The sequence below is a fragment of the Homo sapiens genome, chromosome X (assembly GCF_000001405.40).
Source record: "Homo sapiens chromosome X, GRCh38.p14 Primary Assembly".
Classification (NCBI taxonomy): domain Eukaryota; kingdom Metazoa; phylum Chordata; class Mammalia; order Primates; family Hominidae; genus Homo; species Homo sapiens.
In genome coordinates, this window is record NC_000023.11 from 35,218,212 (window position 1) to 35,241,109 (window position 22,898).

Consider the following 22,898-nt stretch of genomic DNA (forward strand, 5'->3'; position numbering starts at 1 on the left):
GAAAGCAGGTAAGTGGTTGCCAGTTTTGTGGTGTGGGGAGTGTTTGACTACAGAGAGGCATAACAAGGGAAATTTTGAGATGATGGGCTTGTTCTGTGTTGCATTGTGCTGGTGAAATGCTAGATATTTGTCTAAACTCATAAAACTTCCTACAACAAAGCGTAAATTTTTATATGCAGATTAAAAATAATCAACTTGAATATTATGCAAAACCAAAATTGAATGCAGACTATGACAAATGAATCTATGTATATTGCACATAATTGAAATGATCATGGTGAATGGAGTGATGAAGAAATAAGCTGCCCTGTGTAACTTAAAAAAATAACATTGATCTGACTGGATATTGTAAGGCTAAAGACAAAACATATTAGTATGCAAACATTGTATTCTATTTAATTGGTGTAATTTGAGATATGGTTTTACTGTGTCCCCACCAAAATCTCATCTTGAATTGTAGCTCCCATAATTTCCACGTGTCATGGGAGGGACCCGGTTGTGGGGGCCAGGTAATTGAATCATGAGGGCGGGTCTTTCCTGTGCTGTTCTCATGATACTGAATAAGTCTCACGAGATCTGATGGTTTTATAAAGGGGAGCTCCCCTGCACATGCTCTCTTGCCTCCTGCCATGTAATACATGACTTTGCTCCTCATTTGCCTTCAGCCATGATTGTGTAGCCTCCCCAGCTATGTGAAATTGTGAGTCAATTAAACCTCTTTCCTTTACAAATTAGCCAGTCTCAGGTATGTCTTATTAGCAGCAGGAGAATAGACTAATACAGTTTGAATGTTTGTCCCCTCCAAATCTCATGTTGAAATGTAATCCCTAGTGTTGGAAGTGAGGCCTTTTGAAAGATGTCTGGGTCATGGGGGCAGAACCCTTGTGAATGGCTTAGCACCATCTCCTTGGTGATGAGGGAGGAGTTATTGCTCAATGAGTTCACATGAGATGTGGTTGTTTTAAAAGAAACTGGCACCTCCCTCCTCTCTCTCCTTTGTTCCCACTCTCATCATGTGATATGCCAGCTTCCCCTTTGCCTTCTGCCATGACTAAAAGCTTCCTGAGGTTCTCACCAGGAGCAGATGCTGGTATCATGTCTTCCATATAGCCTACAGAATTGTGAGCCAATGAAATCACTTTTCTTTGTAAATTACCCAGTTTCAGGTATTACTTTATAGTAATGAAAATGGACTACACATTGACAATATTTTTTCTCATAATGGTGAGGGTTAACAATTCTGAAATAACTCTAAATATAAATCATATTTGAAGAAGTAAGTAAATATATTGAAGTAAATGAGAGCCACTTTCTCACTGTCAGAGAAACAGGAGATAACGCCAAGATGAAACGTGCTGCTTAATTGAAGATGAAGGTATCATTTTTGCCTCATGGATATATAGATTGAAAGAAATAGAAAGATATAAAAATGAATACAGATAACAGATACATGTATATAAATGGGTCGTACAAAAAGAAATATGACCCAGCTTTGTCCAATAAGAGAGCCTAAAAGAAGTATACCCCAGCAGTAATGAGCATACCTAGTTCCTGGATTTTGGTTTGTAAATATCATTCTTCATTAACAGGAATGAGAGCTCCTTAGAGATGTGGCTAGTTCTAGGACAAAGAAAGAGAAAATAGAAGTTAACCATAGAGCTTTCTGTGGCATCAGAAAGTTGGAAAGTGCTAAAACATAAGTTTGGGCAAGTAAAAAGGAAAGAAGAATCAAATAAAAAGAGACCCAAATATCCAAAGCTAGAACAATTTTGCACAAAATAATTAAATAGTGCTAGCCTCTAACCCTGAGATGGTAAATTTATTGTGTCAATTTGACTGGGACACTGCGTGCCAGATTAATGGTCAAACATTATTCTGAGTGCATCTGTGAGGGTGATTCTGGATGATGTTACCATTAGAATCAGTAGACTGAGTAAAACAATTTTTTCTTCCTAGTGTGGGTGGGCTTCATCCAATCAGTTGAAGGCCTGAATAGAACAAAAAGCTGATCCCCTAAGGAGTAAGCAGGATTTTTTTTTTCGCTTTTAGACTTAAACTGAAATGGCACTTTTTCCTATATCAATCCTGCCAGCATTTGGACTAGAAATTACATCATCAGCTTTCCTGGTTCTCAGATTTTCAGAATTAAACTGCTATGACACCTTTGGCTTTCAAGGGTCTCCAGCTTGATGATTGCAGATCTTGGGACTTGTTAATCTCCATAATCATGTGAGTCAATACATTTTAATAAATAAATCTCTTTCTCCTCCCTCCCTCTCTTTCTCTCCATCTTTGTCATTAGTTATGTTTCTCTAGAGAATCCTAACTCATACAAACCTGAAGAATAAAATAAATATCCATGAGACCATGCCAATATAAATAAGTGGTTGAATGAGTAAACAAGTGGAGAATAAGGGATAATTAGTCCCTAGAGAATAATTCCAAATAACAAATATGGATGACAAGAAAAAATAAAAATTACTGTTGAAAACCTATGTGATTATTACTGCAGTGAAGATACACTGATAAATGTTAAAATCAGTGGGTAAAATTTTAAGCAGAAACAGAATGTTTGCATAGTCTCAAATTTTCTCTCTCCAGATATTTGTTAATTACAAAAGGAAAAACTGTAACATTATAGTGGAGGAACCTGTTGGCCACCACCTTGACAAGGTGATCAAGTTTAACAACCCCATAATAGGATATCTTGTTGTCATGTGTCTCCTGATATAACAATGTGGTATTCTTCTGGAAAAAAAAACAAAAAACCATGGTCTCAATTTAATCATGAGTACACATGAGACAAATTCATATTGAAGGACAGTTTACAAGGTACTTATCTACTATTCATCAAATGAGTCAGGGTCATAAAAGACAAGGAAGAATTAAGGAACTAACACATATTGGAGGAAACTAGGTAAACAGGACAACTAAATTCAATCAGTGTAGGATGTCGGATTACATTCTGAAACAGAAAAAGAACATTAGTAGAAAGACTGGTGAAATATAAAGTCTGTAGTCTATTCACTTTTATTGTACAATGTTAATTTCTTAGTTTTGACAATCATACTGTGGTTATTTGGGAAGCTAACACTGGAGGAATCTGAGTGAAGAGTGTCTAAGGGTTTTCTTAACTACTTTTACAACTGCTCTATAAACCTAAAATTATTTAAAAATGAAAACTTACAACAGTAACTTGTATACCCAGGGGGGAGGAGCCAAGATGGCCGAATAGGAACAGCTCCGGTCTACAGCTCCCAGCGTGAGCGACGCAGAAGACGGGTGATTTCTGCATTTCCATCTGAGGTACCGGGTTCATCTCACTAGGGAGTGCCAGACAGTGGGGCAGGTCAGTGGGTGCGTGCACCGTGCGCGAGCCGAAGCAGGGCGAGGCATTGCCTCTCTTGGGAAGCGCAACGGGTCAGCGAGTTCCCTTTCTGAGTCAAAGAAAGGGGTGATGGACAGGCACCTGGAAAATCGGGTCACTCCCACCCGAATACTGCGCTTTTCCGAAGGGCTTAAAAAACGGTGCGCCACGAGATTATATCCCGCACCTGGCTCGGAGGGTCCTACGCCCACAGAGTCTCGCTGATTGCTAGCACAGCAGTCTGAGATCAAACTGCAAGGTGGCAGCGAGGCTGGGGGACGGGCGCCTGCCATTGCCCAGGCTTGATTAGGTAAACAAAGCAGCCGGGAAGCTCGAACTGAGTGGAGCCCACCACAGCTCAAGGAGGCCTGCCTGACTCTGTAGGCTCCACCTCTGGGGGCAGGGCACAGACAAACAAAAAGACAGCAGTAACCTCTGCAGACTTAAATGTTCCTGTCTGACAGCTTTGAAGAGAGCAGTGGTTCTCCCAGCACACAGCTGGAGATCTGAGAAGGGGCAGACTGCCTCCTCAAGTGGGTCCCTGACCCCTGACCCCTGGGCAGCCTAACTGGGAGGCACCCCCCAGCAGGGGCACACTGACACCTCACACGGCAGGGTATTCCAACAGACCTGCAGCTGAGGGTCCTCTCTGTTAGAAGGAAAACTAACAAACAGAAAGGACATCCACACCAAAAACCCATCTGTACATCACCATCATCAAAGACCAAAAGTAGATAAAACCACAAAGATGGGGAAAAAACAGAACAGAAAAACTGGAAACTCTAAAAAGCAGAGCGCCTCTCCTCCTCCAAAGGAACGCAGTTCCTCACCAGCAACGGAACAAAGCTGGATGGAGAATGACTTTGACGAGCTGAGAGAAGAAGGCTTCAGACGATCAAGTTACTCTGAGCTACGGGAGGACATTCAAACCAAAGGCAAAGAAGTTGAAAACTTTGAAAAAAATTTAGAAGAATGTATAACTAGAATAACCAATACAGAGAAGTGCTTAAAGGAGCTGATGGAGCTGAAAACCAAGGCTCGAGAACTACGTGAAGAATGCAGAAGCCTCAGGAGCCGATGCGATCAACTGGAAGAAAGGGTATCAGCAATGAAAGATGAAATTAATGAAATGAAGCGAGAAGGGAAGTTTAGAGAAAAAAGAATAAAAAGAAATGAGCAAAGCCTCCAAGAAATATGGGACTATGTGAAAAGACCAAATCTACGTCTGACTGGTGTACCTGAAAGTGACGGGGAGAATGGAACCAAGTTGGAAAATACTCTGCAGGATATTATCCAGGAGAACTTCCCCAATCTAGCAAGGTAGGCCAACATTCAAATTCAGGAAATACAGAGAACACCACAAAGATACTCCTCGAGAAGAGCAACTCCAAGACACATAATTGTCAGATTCACCAAAGTTGAAATGAAGGAAAAAATGTTAAGGGCAGCCAGAGAGAAAGGTCGGGTTACCCACAAAGGGAAGCCCATCAGACTAACAGCGGATCTCTCAGCAGAAACCCTACAAGCCAGAAGAGAGTGGGGGCCAATATTCAACATTCTTAAAGAAAAGAATTTTCAACCCAGAATTTCATATCCAGCCAAACTAAGCTTCATAAGTGAAGGAGAAATAAAATCCTTTACAGACAAGCAAATGCTGATAGATTTTGTCACCACCAGGCCTGCCTTACAAGAACTCCTGAAGGAAGCACTAAACATGGAAAGGAACAACCGGTACCAGCTGCTGCAAAATCATGCCAAAATGTAAAGACCATTGAGACTAGGAAGAAACTGCATCAACTAACGAGCAAAATAACCAGCTAACATCATAATGACAGGATCAAATTCACACATAACAATATTAACTTTAAATGTAAATAGACTAAATGCTCCAATTAAAAGACACAGACTGGCAAACTGGATAAAGAGTCAAGACCCATCAGTGTGCTGTATTCAGGAAACCCATCTCATGTGCAGAGACACACATAGGCTCAAAATAAAAGGATGGAGGAAGATGTACCAAGCCAATGGAAAACAAAAAAAGGCAGGGGTTGCAATCCTAGTCTCTGATAAAACAGACTTTAAACCAACAAAGATCAAAAGAGACAAAGAAGGCCATTACATAATGGTAAAGGGATCAATTCAACAAGAAGAGCTAACTATCCTAAATATATATGCACCCAATACAGGAGTACCAAAATTCATAAAGCAAGTCCTGAGTGACCTACAAAGAGACTTAGACTCCCACACAATAACAATGGGAGACTTTAACACCCCACTGTCAACATTAGACAGATCAACAAAAAATCCTATTCGAATAAAAACAAATCAGAATCCTGACCTGAACTTCTCCTCTTCTGGATAAATCATGTTAATTTCTTTAAACTTTCTTCACACATTTAAAGAAATACTATTTATCCTTGTTTTTCTGCTCTGCATTCTCTCTAGATACTCTTTAACTCCCTTAAATTTTGGTGTTGCAGTATTCTGATTGACTAAGCCAAAGCGGGCAATATTAGCATCAATATTCACTTCACTGTGATGCAAGCTGGAGCTATGCAAACCTGTCTTGAAATACTAATAAGAGAAATGATCCAGGAGGGAACCTCAGAATTCTAAAGAACATAAATACAGACAAGAGAGCAAAGGATATAAGAAAAACTAAAGGCTAAGACTGGAAATAGTTGACTAAACTTTTAAAAGTATGGATTATAAATATAATTATTGTTTATAAATTATGTACTTATTCATACATTTTCCATAACTTAAATTCTAATTGTAGAATTTAAAATAGACAATAAACTTTGTAAAACACCTAAAATTTTACTTTAAATTCTCATCTACTTAAAAAATATTGCAGTAAAATATTACTTATGTTAAATTTACTTTCCATAATAGACAATGAAAAAATAACTTAAACCATCCAAAATTAAAAAGTGAGAAAATTTCATATTAGAATACACTGCAAGTAGAAGTCATTCTAGGTTCTCATCAGGTGTTGTGGTTAGCCATATACATGACTTTATCTAAGTCACTTCACCTCTCTGAGTCAGCTTCAGGATGATAGTGTGGAGATGTGTCAACTCTCACAGCAAAATTCTAGCAGGAGATCTTCATTCACTTCACAGTCTTTTGAAAAGCACCCCTGGAATTGTACAAAAGTGTGGCCCTTCCTAAAGTGCAGATATTTTTCTTCTTAAATGAATACATCAAGTTCCTCAGAGTTTCAAAATTAAAGAAATAATAAGTAGGGGACAACCTGGAGTCTAGAATTTGATTCAAAAAAGGAGAATTTCTGGACAAGGATCACAGTTCTGTATAGGTAGGACAATTCCAGCATGCCCTGGATATCTGCCTATAATCTTGCCATCTCTCTGCTCAGTTATTTTTAAAATTTAGGTAGAACACATATACCGAAAAATACTTTAATATGAAATGTACACCTGAACATAATATTTTTGATATTCACCCTGATTTTTGCACATAGCAATATGTTATGTTGCCAAATAGAATTTCATTAAAGGAATAGACTTCCCTTTATTTATTTATTCTACTTACAATTAGCTTTTAATTCCATCTCTGTAAGAAGACATTGTAAGTAAGGCAATTTGGTTATACCTGAATACGAGGTTGTTTTGGTAGATATTGGTTGCTTCCAACAGTTGTAGATAAAAAAATCTCTCTAGGTCTCCTCTCCCAGGAATCACCAACAAGTGGTATGTTACAAGTCATAAATAGTATAAGCCTACACACAGCAATTTATGAGAAAGTAAGCATAACTTTGTCCTTTCAGGGATTTCAGTAAATTTTGCCTCAAATCTCCATGAAAATCAGACATTCAGATTCCTCCAGAGGTGACCGAACACATGAACCAGACATAATCCTAGACTGAGGTCACCACTCTAAAAGGTACAGGATTTTTCTTGCTTCTCTAGACCTCCTCTCTTGATTCATGCAAAGGCATAAAGATAGACAATATTCTAACAAATCCACATATATTAAACACCACTCAAGTCCGTAATTAAAATTATTCCTAACATTATACTAACTAATGAACCATCTGGTGCTGATCAAATATACAGTTGAAGGACACTTCTGGAGCCTGAATTTCTGAATAAAGACTCTGATTGTTACATAACTACACCCTTTATTATATACTCTTGATAAGGGGGCCTCAAGGGTTCACTAATGATCTCCAGAGTATAGATTGAAAACCTACACATGCATATATATTATACAAACCATATTTTAAATATTTTAAATAAAATTACAAACAATATTAAAAATTTTCTTCCAAACACTCAAGTCCAACTTGCCAAAACAGAACTAATCTCTACATTAAGGAGTTAGCCCAGGGAGGCGGCTTCTCTTGACATATTGGAGACTACCCAGGGCTGTTCATTTGCCTGACTCTGTCCTATCTTCTCATTCCTGGGGATCTGTGAGGTTTAACTCTCTGTAAAGAATCAAACGGTGGGAAAAAGAGAGCAAAATTTCATCTGTTATTATAGTACATGGTTGAACTTGAGCCCTTGGCAGATAACTCTGAAAAGAATGGGAATATCTCTTTTACTCATTGGCTATTTCCCCAAGACATATTGTTAAAATAAATGTTTATTTCATCCAATCTGTAGTTGGATGGTGCAGTTCACAAACCTGCAAGTCAGATAATCTAGGCTGGGCTTGGGTAACTCAACTCCATGTGACATGTCTCATTTGGGACCCTGGCTGAAGGTACAACACCTGGTGAAAGCTTTTCTCATGGTGATATCTGAGGTGGAAGAAGGAAAAGAATAATTTTATCTAATTCAGAAGTTATCTAGAAGTTAATTCAAATTATAAACTTGAAAAAGGCATTTATGAAACAAGGTAGTAAGGAACCAGTAAGTCGGGAGAGAGATGTAAAGAAAGTTATATATATGAAGATTTTTTGTAAGGAAGGCTATAAAGGAAAGATAATCTTTGATGAGAAAATACTTTGTAGGGTAAATTTTTTTTGTCCTGGGGTAAAATGACTGGTTATTTAAAGAAAAAATAAGAGGAAGAAGAAGAAAATCTGGGACTGAACAGAAAGCCTAGGCATGTTGTGGACAGTCTGTGTAAGTCACATGTAGTTTTTACTGTTTCTCTGTGTGTGTATCTTCATGAACCAAAGAGAAAATAGAAAGTTGAAACAGTTTAGATAATAAAATATTCTTTAAAACCTGAAAAATTGGAGAAATTTGGCTAACTTTTTAAAAATTTGCCTAATTAACATTTTCGTATTTAAAGCTCTTAGTCTTGATGAAGATAAAATAAGAAATATTGTAAAGAAATGCATTGGCAGTTTTGCATTTTTTAAAATATAGTTAATCATGAAGCCAGATGTAGTGTGGAACCAAATTTCATACACATGCTTGCATTGCTTCATACTATATATAGTACTATTTGCTATTTTGCACAGACAGTACTAGCACTAAAGTGCTTACTGGTCATGTACCTAAAGTGAATTTCTTAATTGCAAAAATATGTATCATTATATTGGTGGACCTAAAAATATTAAATTGTGTTTCAGGAATAAAATGTTATCTTTTTTAATAGGCTCTGGGTAACACTGTAGCATCCAAGGTAAACTTAGTAGGAGAAAAAATTGAGGTGGGTTTCCTGTTTGCTTTTACTTCTAATTTTTTATTTATTTGCCATTTGTTCTGCTTTGAGTTTTACTTATGTATACATACATATAAACCATTGACTTTTTTTAGTTCCTAATGGAAGACTTTTATTTGGTTCTGTGAATAGTTTTTGTTTCCTATGCATTTCTAACAAGTCATCATTTGTTTTATTTATCTAGAATTCCTAAGCTACCTCTGTCAAGCCTGCAAAAACTGATGGAGCACACCAGCCACTTAAAATTTGATTTTCCTTACCTCTGATAATCTAGAGAGCTACAAGAGCTTTAAGTTTCCTAGCCAAAAAAAAGAGAATTATTATAAAAAGTTCTGAACAGAAATAAGAACATTATATATTTTGTTATTTGGAAAAGTGGATGATAGTAGCAGTGCTTAAATGGTGTTTAGTTAGTTTTAGATATTTTTCTTTAATGAGGAAAAATTGTGATATGGATACAAAGTTTTAATGTTCAGGAAAGATTGGCCTTGTCCTTAAGACAATTATATTAATTGGAATTTCTCTCAAACTACCTTAGTTGTGTTTACTATTATTAAAATTAAATGGCATTCACTTGGATTAAGTAGTAATTTAAAAAATGTGAGACTTTCTAGTGATCTTTGATCCCAAGCCGTTTATCACTGATGGGCCTTCATGTGTGCACTTGAAAACAAAATATGTATAAGTGTTGCACTAGTTTGAAGATTTTGGTAGCCAAAGTTACCTCATCAGTTGTCAGTACTGTATCTAGAAACCAATCTTGGAAATGTGTGATGATACTCTTTTAAATAGGTGAAAAGAAATTATTGTGTGCTGGTTCTTACTTTGTCTCTGTTTTATTGTCTATTACTTAAGTGAAAGATTACCTTCATATTGAACTTTCAGAACTAATATTTGCATTTATCATTTTTTGATGGAGACAAAAGTTAGTTGTCTTCCTTTCATAAGTTTGGCATACAACATATCACTTTTTGATGCTTTTAGTCACAGTCTGTCACTAGAATGCTGGCAATTAGACATGTGCAATGAGTAACCTAACTACTTGAATACAGTGATTTGAAGTGTTGCAGGCAGTAACTCTTAAACACCAAATCACAATGTTTTAATTTTGAACATATTAGAAAGAATGTTAGGACATTCTGTAATATAAATATTCTATTAACTAATTTTTGTGCTGTTATGTTACAGGGCTTTGACTCCTGGGTCTGAAGGAGGCACAAACCCCTGCTAAATTTTGAGCATTGATACCAGTTGAAGCCTCATCTTTAGACTCATGGAAGAGTGACAATCAACATGAACTGCTTTTGTGAGACAGAAATTAAAACTATTCAGTCCCTCTATACTCAGGGACTATTATAGAAGAGGTGGGCACATGAGATTGCAAGGGCCAATTTTGAGGAATAAGATTAGTTCAGAGTTTTTCTATATGTTAAACATTAATATCAAAAGCACCCTAATAGAAGGCCAGCATCTGGGCCCATGTGTCAGAATAATAGGGTTTTCTTGGATCATGCTCTTTAATAGAACATTGTAAAATGTTATAAAAGGTTGATGGAAATCTTACCTTATGGTCAAACTGATTAAAATTAGATAAATTTTTATAAGGTTTTATTAAAATTAGCTTTAACATTAATACACCATACAAAGGTAAAATATGGTTTTTCTCTTTTGTACAAAATTTTTCATGTAAGAGATAGTATAAGAGTTTTGTTTACCTTTGGAGTAAACTGCAGAGGACAAATTGGGGGAAAGAGACAGATATAGCTGGCCTCAAGCTGTATTTATTAAGTAGCATTGTTTAGGAAACTGAGTCTCCTCTTTATCAAAGAGTAAATATTTTTGTATTATCATTTTGGCTAAATGAATGACTATTTTATAGTAACCTGTAACCTTATTTTTAATATCAAGTGTCTTAAACTTTTGATATTTGTCATACTTTTCAAGAGCAAAATTTAAAGTTCTAAATTCAGTCTTTTTTACCTAAAACTATTTTTTGAATGTTAGTATCCCTGAAGTCCAAGAGAGATATATTATGCTTATTAAGCTTATTTGTTATGTTAGGATTATACAGGAATCATTATTAAATGTGAGATGGTACTTAACTTTTTTTGGCTATATTTATATAGATATGTTGTTAACATGTGTTTCAGGATTATATGACATTCCTGAAATTCTGATACGTATGTATGTTATTGGTAATAATTATGATTATTATGTTAAATTGTTGTATACCATAGAAATAACCAAATTTTATTGTCAACTGTGTCTTTGACTATGGCTGTCCTAAGACATTTGTCATCCATAACTGATGTTTTGCTTTGATCCTTCTCAAAAAAGTGATTTATAATCAGCTACTGTCTAGAGCTTGCTTTTTCAGGGGAATTCTTGAAAAGGACTCTTTAGCGTGGGTTTCTGATAACATTGGAGATTGTGCCATTGGATTAGAGAGCAGAGTGCTAATTGAAAGGCTGATATGTTCATAAAGGTTGCTAATCAAATATGAAGCAAAGCAGGAGTTAACTGTGTGGACTGAACTAATGGAGGACTGAAATCATTTGTATAGCCTTTTTGTTTGAAATATTGCTGATTCCTTTTGTTTTATGTTTCAGAGTCTGGGGAATTGTTTTCTTTATGCTATTCATAGCCTTAAAATACTTTAAGTGTACTGAGTAGAGTATATGTTTGTAAACAGAATTTGAGTCATATATTTTTCTCTCTTGGTCCAATTTATCCAGAATTCATTAATCATTTGTGAAATTCTTAATTCATGGCAATGTATTTATTTGCATAAGTTTAATAAGAATCTATTTTCTCGGCCGGGCACAGTGGCTCATGCCTGTAATACCAGCACTTTGGGAGGCCGAGGTGGGCAGATCACGAGGTCAGGGGATGGAGACCATCCTGGCTAACACTGTGAAACCCCGTCTCTACTAAAAATACAAAAAAATTCGCAAGGCATGGTGGCGGGTGTCTGTAGTCCCAGCTACTGGGGAGGCTGAGGCAGGAGAATGGTGTGAACTCAGGAGGCGGAGCTTGCAGTGAGCTGAGATCGCACCACTGCACTCCAGCCTGGGCGATAGAGGGAGACTCCATCTCAAAAAAAAAAAAAAAAAGAGAGAATCTGTTTTCTTGTATAATGGGACACAGTTGGAGGAACTGGTTATTTTTCCAGGGCTTTGACTGGAATGGCCTTGTGAGAGGTTCCAGCAAAGCCAGTTTAGCAGAACCTATTGGGCAATGATTACTGTTGCACTTTGTGTGGGTAATCAGGCCAAGCATATGGGACTGAAGCTAATTTTGCAGGTAGTTTGGTTCTGCTGCGATTTGTCTTTGGTGGAAGTGGGAGACTGGAGAGAGAAATACTCTGTTTCAGAAGAAAGCTCTAGTATTAGATTAACCTTTGATTCCTGAGTGGCCACGTGGTCACCTATGGTATTGAGATGCCTACAACACCCCTCCCTCAGCATGAAGCAGCCAGAAAGATCAAGACCAGATTCCCCATGACTAAGGAATTTATAAATAGAAAAGAGGGACTGAAACTGACACAACAGTTCCATAGATAATTTGTTTTTATTTTTGTTTTTTAATAAACATAGAAATCGACCCTTCTGTTCTTAAAGCTTGAAAGTTATATTTATTTTATCTGAGGTCTTTCCTCAAGAAATGATCCTCAGGCCTCTCAAAAAAGTATCAAAGAACTAAAACTCACCAGATCATTACATCCAGACCATGAGATACTGGACTTCTCATTTATCATGATTACTTCCTTGCCTCTCCCTATTTTCTATTTTTCTTACACATTGTTACATTTCTTCCCCGCTATATAAACCCCCTAATTTTAGTCAGTCAGGGAGACGGATTTGAGAATGAGCTCCCATCTCCTTGGCTGCAGCACCCAATTAAAGCTTTTTTCATTGGCAGTAGTCATTGTCTCAGTGATTGGCTTTCTTTGTGGCAAGCAGTAGGACCTAGACCAGACCTCTGGTGTTTTGGTAACACTAGTACGGTGGTTTTTGAATTATGATGCTTAGGCCAGTAACGACAGTATCACCTGAGAACTGGCTGGAAAAGCAAATTACTAGGCCTCATTCGACTTGCTGAATTAAAAACTCTGGAGGTGAGGCTTAGGAATCTGTGTGTTAATAAATATTTTGATGATTCTGATGTATTCTAAAGTTTGAAACCCACTGTCCTAAGCACAAAATAGCACAATAGCTGGCATAGAGTAAATGAAAAGCCTGAAGAAATGAAAGTTGCCATAACTGTTACAATACTAATACCGTATAGCTGAATTAATAAAGAATGAAGTTAAGTGTTAAGATTTTTAACCACTGTTTCCTCCTGTAAATAACTGGACAATAATACCTGTAGCCAGTATATAGGGAGAGGCAGAGAGAACTCCCTTTGAACATAAGAAGAAAAGCAATTGTCTTCTGAATGTTTTTCAAAGACACACAGTAAAGATAATATGTGTTAATTAACGGTGGAGCAGGTCAACAATTGAAGTGTAGAACAAGGAGAGGCAAAGTTTGGCAATGATTATCAAAGCTATTTGCAGTGAAGGTACCATTTTGCCTAATGAATTTGGCTAATTATTAAAGTCCCAGTGGCAAGTCTATTACTTTTGTAGACTTTCTGAAATTGATGCATGCCATTAAGTATTCATAATGTATAACTGCCTTTCTGTGTTCTGATCATTTTTATTTGCTTTCTCATGCATGTCTATGTACTTGTTACTTAAATGCCAGGGGTTCAGTCTAGGTACTGTTGCTCACACACAGAAAGCCAATTACTAAGTCAACAAGTATTGCCAGGAAAGAAAGCTGTATTCAGGTGCTGCAGCCAAGGAAAATGGGAGATCAGTCTCAAATCCATCTTCTCAACTGACTAAAATTAGGTATTTCTATAGCAGGGAAGAAATGTAACTATGTGTGGGAAAATAGAAATTATGGAAAGACAAGGAAGATGAGTTGGTCAACAAAAAGCAGGTTGTAGATTAGGCAATCAGGATGGATAACGAGTCTGATGTGTCATTGTCCAGATGTGGTGATTTGGTTAGCTTCAGTTCCTTAATACTGTCTGGGAGGACTGATGGTTTGTTTCCTGAGAAAGGAGCTCAGTTAAGACAAATTTAAGTTTCTCAAGTTTTAAGACCGGCAGGGTCAAATCTCTATTTTTACTATAAAGAAACCATACACATCAGTTCTAAGGGACAATTGGATCAATTGCATACTGATGACTGCTCAAACATCCCCCTTGACTACTCTAAGAGGAACTCAAGTATCAAATCCTCCCTTCTCAAATGTCAGTTTCTTCTGCCTAGAATGGGCAAGTAAAAGTTTGTTCTTGCTTTTATTTTGAGTTGTACACTTAGAAGCCTTTTTTTCATATTTAGCTTCATAACAACCCTATAAGTACTGTTATTATCTCTATATGAGGAAACTGAGAATCAAAGATGTTAAATAATATTATTAAGTACACAGCTAAAAGGAAAATCAAGACTTAAACATAGGCCAAGGAAGCAGTGGGACTCATGATTGAAGTAAAAGGGCAATGGGCAGGAAGGAATACTAATTTAGGAAGGTGCAATAGGAACTTAAGACAAGTAGAGCCAACATGAAAGCAACAGGAGCTTGCAGATTGGAGAGTTTGCTATATTTAAAGTGACCATACCTAATTTGAGATGTTTTCTTTTTCATTTTTCAAACCTAGTTTGGTCCATATTTGACAGATATTTGTTCATTTGAAACAAAGGAAAAGTCTATATCAATGATTTCCAATGGTAGTTGTATCACCCCAAGGAAGTATTTGGGAAATATTGAATGACATTTTTGTTGCCAGAATGATCAGAAGGCACTGTTAGTATTTAGTGGGAGGAATCATTAATGTTCTTCATAGGACAGTGTCACACAGCAAATACTTCTCATGTTCTCTGCAAAAATTTTAATTATCTCACTGGATATTCTTATAGGCGACTATCCAGTCTAGAAGTGAATAAATTCATTTTCAAGGGAAGATTGAGCACAATAGCTCATCTTTAGAAAATCATGTAATCTGTGACTACACTAAACATAATTAATACCAAAACAGCGCAGCTGTTTCAGGGAACATTTGTATATATGATTTAAGAACAATTCTGAATACAGTCATCAGGACTTCTAGTGTGGTTATGCTGAGGACAAATATATATTATTTTTATTATGAATTTATTTATATTTTTACATTTCACTTAGGGTATTAGCATACATGCATAATTACGTTGAAGTAAGATTATATTACTTAATAATTTTTCCAGGGTGGTAAAATATATGTTTTAAAATTGGAGCATTAATTCTGATGCGGTTGAAAACCAACTCTCTCTAAGATACTCTGATAAACATCATTATATCCGGAAAATATCTTTATGTAATTGCTATTGTTAAATCATAATTTTGTACAAATAATTTTTATAAGGAGAAAGTCAACTCTGCAAAATATTTTTTAAAATTCTATATAAAGACATAAATTTATACAGTCTAGTATTTGTCTGTCAACAATTTGCTTCGGAATTGAGGTTTGTATTTATTAGATTAGAATTACTTTTCCTATATTTCCTGTATTTCAAGTTCAGTCCATGGATACTTTGTTTATACTTGAAGAAAATTTTAATCTGGCAACCCACCAGTAACTAATAGTTAGAACTTTACATGAAACATATCCATTTATACTCCAAGAATTACCATACACATGCTTCCAAAACACAGAGGTGCAAATTTGTCTGAAGGCCTGCCATTTAACAAAGTGAAATCAAAGTAATCTTTGCATGGTAGAAGACAAACTAAAATGTGTGAGGGAGAACTCCACTCTTTAGACCCTCAAATTCTCAGATTGCAGGCTTGGGTCTAATTCTCTGGTGGACATTGACAGGATAACCTCTTCACCAGCTTTAGGTGCAAAAAGAGGGTTTATGTAAGGTTTTGGAATCCTGCAGAAAATGACTTAATTTCCTTCTTCTTACATATGTATTACTCTTCAGATCACTGTTTTATAGTGACACATGTGAATTCTCACAGGAAGGAGCAAAGGAAATACTTGTTCTGAAACAGATGATTAGGAAAAATCAGACAGCATTTGAAACATGAACAGGAACAAGATCTTCTAAAATAAGTAAAATAACACTAATACTTTGCTCATTGCTGAGCAGGAATTATATCAGAAAAGAACATCCATGTGAAAGTAAGAGAGTGACATACAGCAAAACACTTCTAAGCTTTTTTTTTAATAGCAAGTTTAAGTTTAGGTTCTCAAACCTGTTTGCACAATAGAGTCACCTAGGGAGCTTTGAGAACTACCAATGCCTGGTCCCCAAACACAGAATTCTGATGTGACTGCTTTGAAGTAGGGCCTGCGTATCAGTATAAGCTCCATGGGTGGCCCTACAATTCAGCCAAGTCTAACAACCACTGACTAGTCGCTTCATCAGTATCCTTATGGCTCTGCCAGTACACACCTATGGGTGATTAGTACTAATTTAAGCATTTGCTTTGATTAAGTTCATAGTTTTACTGTATACCTTGGGGCTATGTCATTGTTTTTTTTTTTTTCTAATAGCAATAGTATTCTTTTTCTCTCTTTCTCTCTCCCTCCCTCACTCCCTTCCTTCCTTCTTTCCTTTCTCTTTATTTCTTCCTTCCTCCTTTCTACCTTCTTTTTTTCCCTTTCTTCCTTTCTCTCCTTCCTTCTTTTCCTTTCTTTTTTTATTTAACTAATATTAAGTGTTTTGTTGTTAGTGGTAAAATGAAAGTTACTGTGTTAAGCTCTGGGGAAATAAAATTTAACAGGCCCTACTCCCTGTTCCTGAGGTGGTCACAATCTAAAGTTCTGAGAGATGGACAGAGGTGAATTAGGCTATAGTGTTCAAACCATATCTTAAGTCACTACACATATTAAGCCACCCTCTGGATAACAAATACAGTCATCACGTTTTGTCAGGGAAACTATACAAGTTTCCATGTCCTGTCTTATTATCTTCATAACACACCTTGATTGGCATTCTTTTATTTTTAACCTAAATTTTTGATAATTCTTGGCAAAGAAGAAAACATTTAATACATAACAAAGTAAAACTCCGTGCCTGTATCTGTGATTTTAGGAAATAATTTAGTAGTATTACGAGATTTTCTTCAGGCAATGCAGACTCCTCTCAATTAATTTGAAATTAAAGGTTGTGTCATGTACTTTGAAAGAAGAAGTTATTCTTAGATCTTTACTGAGGCTATATGTTACATATATTAGTTAAATGTCCAGAATATGTGAGAATAGTTATTTTATTTCATGAATGGGCACCTGTGCTTCTTTTCTCTATCAGTGCTTTTTAGTTTTATTATTTATTAACTCTTGCCATTCCTCTTCTCTCTCTATTTGCTCATCCCACAAATATAGAACTCCTTTGAAATTAAAAACAGAAGACATTAAAAATTATATGTGAAGGCACCAATGCATATGGAAATTTTAGATAAGATGAATCTGGGGTAGGGTAAAAGCAGAGGTCTAAGACGGATGAGATGTTGGGAGTAGATCTTTCTGCAGAACCACTTTCAGAGCAATACAGAAAACTGAGTACTTTCAGGCCTTGAACTATACTCTCTTACATTTTCTATAGGGAAAGAAGACAAATGTTTCCCTCCAGAACCACTGTTCTGATACATTCTCATATGCTGGAGCAAAGCTAAGGTCATTAGGCAGGGGATTGGAATTGCTGATCCAATTGTTCTCAGCCATTCCCTAAAGAAAATTATTAAAATATATATATATATATATATATGTATGTATCCTGGAAAGAGTCCTGTGAATATTTTTAAAATTTATACATAATATTTTACATATTTATGGGGTAACATGTGGTTACTTTTTATATCCATAGAATGTATAATGGTCGAGTCAGGCTGTTTGGGGTATCCATCACCTTGAATATTTATCCTTTCTGTGTTGCTAATAGGTCAAGTCCTGAGAATTAAGTAAACGAAGACATTTAAAACAGATAAAATAATAGTTAACATATTCTGTGTTCTCAAAAAATGCCAGATGTTGTTTTTGTTGTTATTAATGTTGTCCTTGTAACCGTATCATTTGGGAATATCTGCCTGAGAGGAATAAGAAGGTGTAGCTTATGAACCTCATCATAATGTTTAAATGTATCATTTAAATCAATGATATTTTGTGTCATTGATTTTACAGTTCATCTAGGGCCATATCCTCATGGTACCTGCACATATTACTGCAATTACATGTAACATAGCTCTCAGTAAACTAAACACATTTCCATTTGTTTAATTGAGAATCAAAGGCCTTTTCCTTTAAATATGACTAAGGTCTATCTGAAACAAAATTTTCTACAATTGTCAGCATTTTAGAAATTAATTCCTTAAAATTCACTCAGAATTACTAAAACAAGTGAAGTTTTTAGTTATTAGTGCTGTACCAATGTTAATTTATTAGTTTTTGATAAATGTATTATAGTTATGTAGTGTGTTAACCATTAGAAGAAACTGGGTGAAGAGTATATGGCAACTCTGGACTATCTTCACAGATTTTCTATAAATCTAAAAGTATTTCATGTCTTTTGCCCACTTTTTAATGGAGTTGTTTGTTTTTTGTTTGTACATTTGTTTACTTTCCTTGTAAAGTACGGATATTAGACCTTTGTCAGATGTATAGTTTGCAAATATTTTCTTCCATTCTGTAGGTTGCCTGTTTACTCTATTGATAGGTTTTTTTGTTCTGTTTTGTTTTGTTTTGTTTTGTTTTGTTTTGCTGTGAAGACACTCTTCAGTTTAATTAGGTTTCATTTGTCAATTTTTGCTTTTGTTGCAATTGCTTTGGATGTTTTTGTCATGAAATCTTTGCCAGTTCCTAGGTCCAAAAAGGTATTTCCTAGAGGAAATATATGTGGCCAAAATACACAGGAAAAAAATGCTTAACATCAATGCAAATCAAAACCACAATGAGATATCATCTCACACCAGTCAGAATGGCCATTATTAGAACCTCAAAAAATTACAGATGTTGGTGAGATTGTGGAAAAAAGGAGCACTTTTTCTACACAGTTATTGGGTGTGTAAATTAGTTTAACCATTGTGGAAAGCAGTATGGCGATTCCTCAAAGAGCTAAAAACAGAACTATCATTCAACCCAGCAATCCCACTACTGGGTATATATACCCCAAGGAATATAAATCATTCTACCATAAAGACACATGCATGGGTATGTTCATTGCAAAACTATTCACAATCGCAAAGATATGGAAGCAACCTTAATGCCCATCTATGGTAGACTGGATAAAGAAAATATGGTACGTATATACCATAGAGTACTATGCAGCCTTTAATAGGAATGAGATCATGTCATTTGTTGGAATATAGATGGAACTAGAGGCCAGTATCCTTAGCCTACTAACACAGAAACAGAAAACCAAATATCACATGTCCTCACATATAAGTAGGAGCTAAATAGTGGAAGTGTATAGACAAAAAGAGGGGAACTACAGACAGTGGGGTCTACTTGAGGGAAGAGGTTGGGCAGAGGGAGAGGTTCAGAAAAAAATATTGTCAATAGTATGTTTAGTACCAGGTGATGAAACAATCTGTACACCAAACCCCTGAGTCATGAGTTTACCTATATAAAAACCTGAGCATGGGCCGGGTGCGGTGGCTCACGCCTGTAATCCTAGCACTTTGGGAGGCCAAGGCGGGTGGATCAGTTGAGGCCAGTACGTGACCAGCATGGCCAATGTGGTGAAACCCTGTCTCTACTAAAAATACAAAAATTAGCCGGGCATAGTGGCCTGTAACAGTAATCCCAGCTACTCAGGAGGCTGAAGCAGGAGAATTGCTTAAACTCAGGGGGGCAGAGGTTGCAGTGTGCTGAGATCGCACCACTGCCCTCCAGCCTGGGCAACAGAGCGAGACACCGTCTCAAAATAAAAAACAAAAAACACCGGAGCACGTACCCCTAAACATAATTAAAGTTAAATATTTTTCAAAAGTATTTCAAAATAAAAAGTATTTTTAGAAAAAAAAAGCACATTCTGATTTTGTTCCCAGCCCCTGTGCCTGACATAAATATTCAATAAATAAATGTTTATGGAATAAATTGAAGTATATTTTATTTTTTTTTTTAATTCACACTCCTCTCCCTCTTTTCTCTTTTTTTGGGAGGTACTCCCTACCTATTCTTTTGATCTCTGAGAGACAAGAAGGTAGGTAATCATCCAGTGCCTATCAGGACTCAGGATGGTTCACTATAGCACCCTCCACCACCAAAGCTTGGTATATAAGTTTGGGTTTTAAAACCACACACACAGATCCAAATTTTAGCTCCAACTTTTTTTTTTTATAAATATGGCAACACATTCAACCTCTCTGAGACTCAGTTTGCACTATCTATAAAGATAGGAATTGTATTTGCTTAGCAGAACTGACATGAGAATCAAATAAGATATCAAATGCTTGGTACATAGTAGGTAACAAAATAATTGTTAGTTTCCTTTCTTATGTGTTTTTTATCGATTCCAGAGAGGTGACTTCATCCCTGAGGAGGAGGAATGACTGTTATTTATTATGAAGCTGGAACATGACAGCATGAATCTTTGGGAAACACTGGCTTTTTCTGCCCAGCATCGCAAAGGGAATGTCAGTCTTTCAGCATACCCAAGTATTTGTGTCCAATAAGGAAAACTAGTCAAGCAAAATCAGAAGAGTCTTCAGTGCTCTTGGCCTCTGTTTGTCCATTCATTCATTCATTCATTCATTCATCCAAATTCTCTCCACTTGAATGTCTGCTGTGTGCAGACAAGGGGCTATGTGCTGGGACTAAATGATGATCAAACAGACTTGGCCACTGCCCTCACAGAGGTTGCAGTGTAACCTCTGTGATATAAGACTTGTGCATCCCTCTCCCAAATTTATATGTCAGAGGCCTAAGCCTTTGTACCTCAAAATGTGGAAGTATTTGGAGATAGGGCCTTTAAGTAGGTAATTAAGTTAAAATAAGGCCATTGGGTTGGACCCTGACCCAATCTGCCTGGTGTCCTTACATGAAGAGGAAACTTGGACACACAATGAAGCACCAGGAATGTGTGCAGAGGAAAAGCAATCCAGGTATAGAGAGAAGGTGTTATCTACAAGCCAAGGAGAGAGGCTTCAGGAGAAGCTAAACCTACCAGCTTGATTGATCTTGGACTTCTAGCCTCCACAACTTTAAAAAAATAAATTTCTGTTGTTTAAACAAACAAACAAAAAAGCAAAACAAACATGGGCAGAGATTCATCTAATGATTTGGGACAATTTTAAAAATACAGATTCCTAGGCCTCGTGCCAAATCTAATAAATTCAAATCTCAGAAGTGGGACATAAGATCCCTATTTTTAGCAAGACTCTCGGGTGTTACTTGTTCTTATCAAAGTCCCGGAGGCATCACCTTGTTTAAGATAATTTAATTCTATTAAAAAGAACCTATTTTCTCAATTCTCCCAAGGATGCCGGCACCATTCTAGATACGTAGGAGAAAACTTTATCCTTTACATACAATTACTATCTCAAGGCCATAGGGCTTAGTTATTTTGAGAAATACTCATTGAGATTGGGTACTATAATGCAAAATATATGACATAGTAATCATTTTTAATGAATTATCCAAACAGTAACAATATTAAAGTTACTAACCAGCATTTTGATTTTGGCTTTGCTATTAACCAGACATATATCCATGGGAAAGTCACCAAACCACTTTTAACTTATCTTGCCTTCTGAAATATCAGTGAAATTAACAAATGGCCATGAATACATTTTCTAAATGTAATCACTTGTAAAATGGGAGAAATAAAAGTAATTGTCTCAACATGCTTTAAGTTCCAAGTTACATAATGGATAATAGTGTTTTTCTTAAAATCCTATTACATAGTAAGAGTCTAATAATTGTTGTGTATTATTTTTGTCTCTTATTTATGCTATAGTTCTGCAAAAGATATTTGGTACGTTAAGTCTGCCCAGGAGTGACTATTACATACTAAAACCAGAAAGTTATCTTAGAAGTGGTAACTAAGTTTTTGTTTTTCAAGTTAGATATACCTGCCTGTTTTTGTTTCCGTGCTTTTTGTCAGACAAGGCCAAAAGTTAGAGCTTCCAAGACAATAATAAACTTTCTCATCAAGTTCAAAACTCTCAAAACAGATTAAAACTACTCTCTCCCTACCTATATATTACAATACTCACAGAACTTTGATGTTTATCATAAAGACCCTTATTTTTGGTGTTTTGTGTCAATTTTTTCTCTTCCCATGATAAAGGCACATTTGTACCACCAAGTGGGCCTTGTTTTCAGTTAAACAAAAGAGCTCATGTTATGTCCTTGATGTCTGTCTTCAGTCTCACAGCTGTATAAAATGCTGACTATGTCAAAGCACATTATCAGAGCTTTGATAATTAAGTAAAAAATGTTCAATAGAGTTGTCACCTACTCTTATTTGTTTGCTTTGTTTTAAATATTTGGATAGCATCAGAGTCAGAGTTCTCTACAACTAGAGTCAGAGTTCTCCAGAAATAGAATCAATAGGATGTGTATATGTGTAGAAAAAGATTTATGGTAAGGAATTGGCTCATGTCAATTTGGTGCCTAGCAAATCCGAATCTGAAGTGTGGGCCAAAGGTTGGAGACTCAGGAAAGCCAATGGTGCAGATGAAGTCTGAAGGCAGTCTGCTGGAGAATTATATTGCTCCAGGACGCTGGTCTTTCTGTTCTATTCAGGCCTTCAACAAATTGGATGAGGCCCACCCACATTATGGAGAGCAATCTGCTAACTCGAAGTTCACTTATTTAAATGTTAATCTCATTCAAAAACACCCTCCAAGTT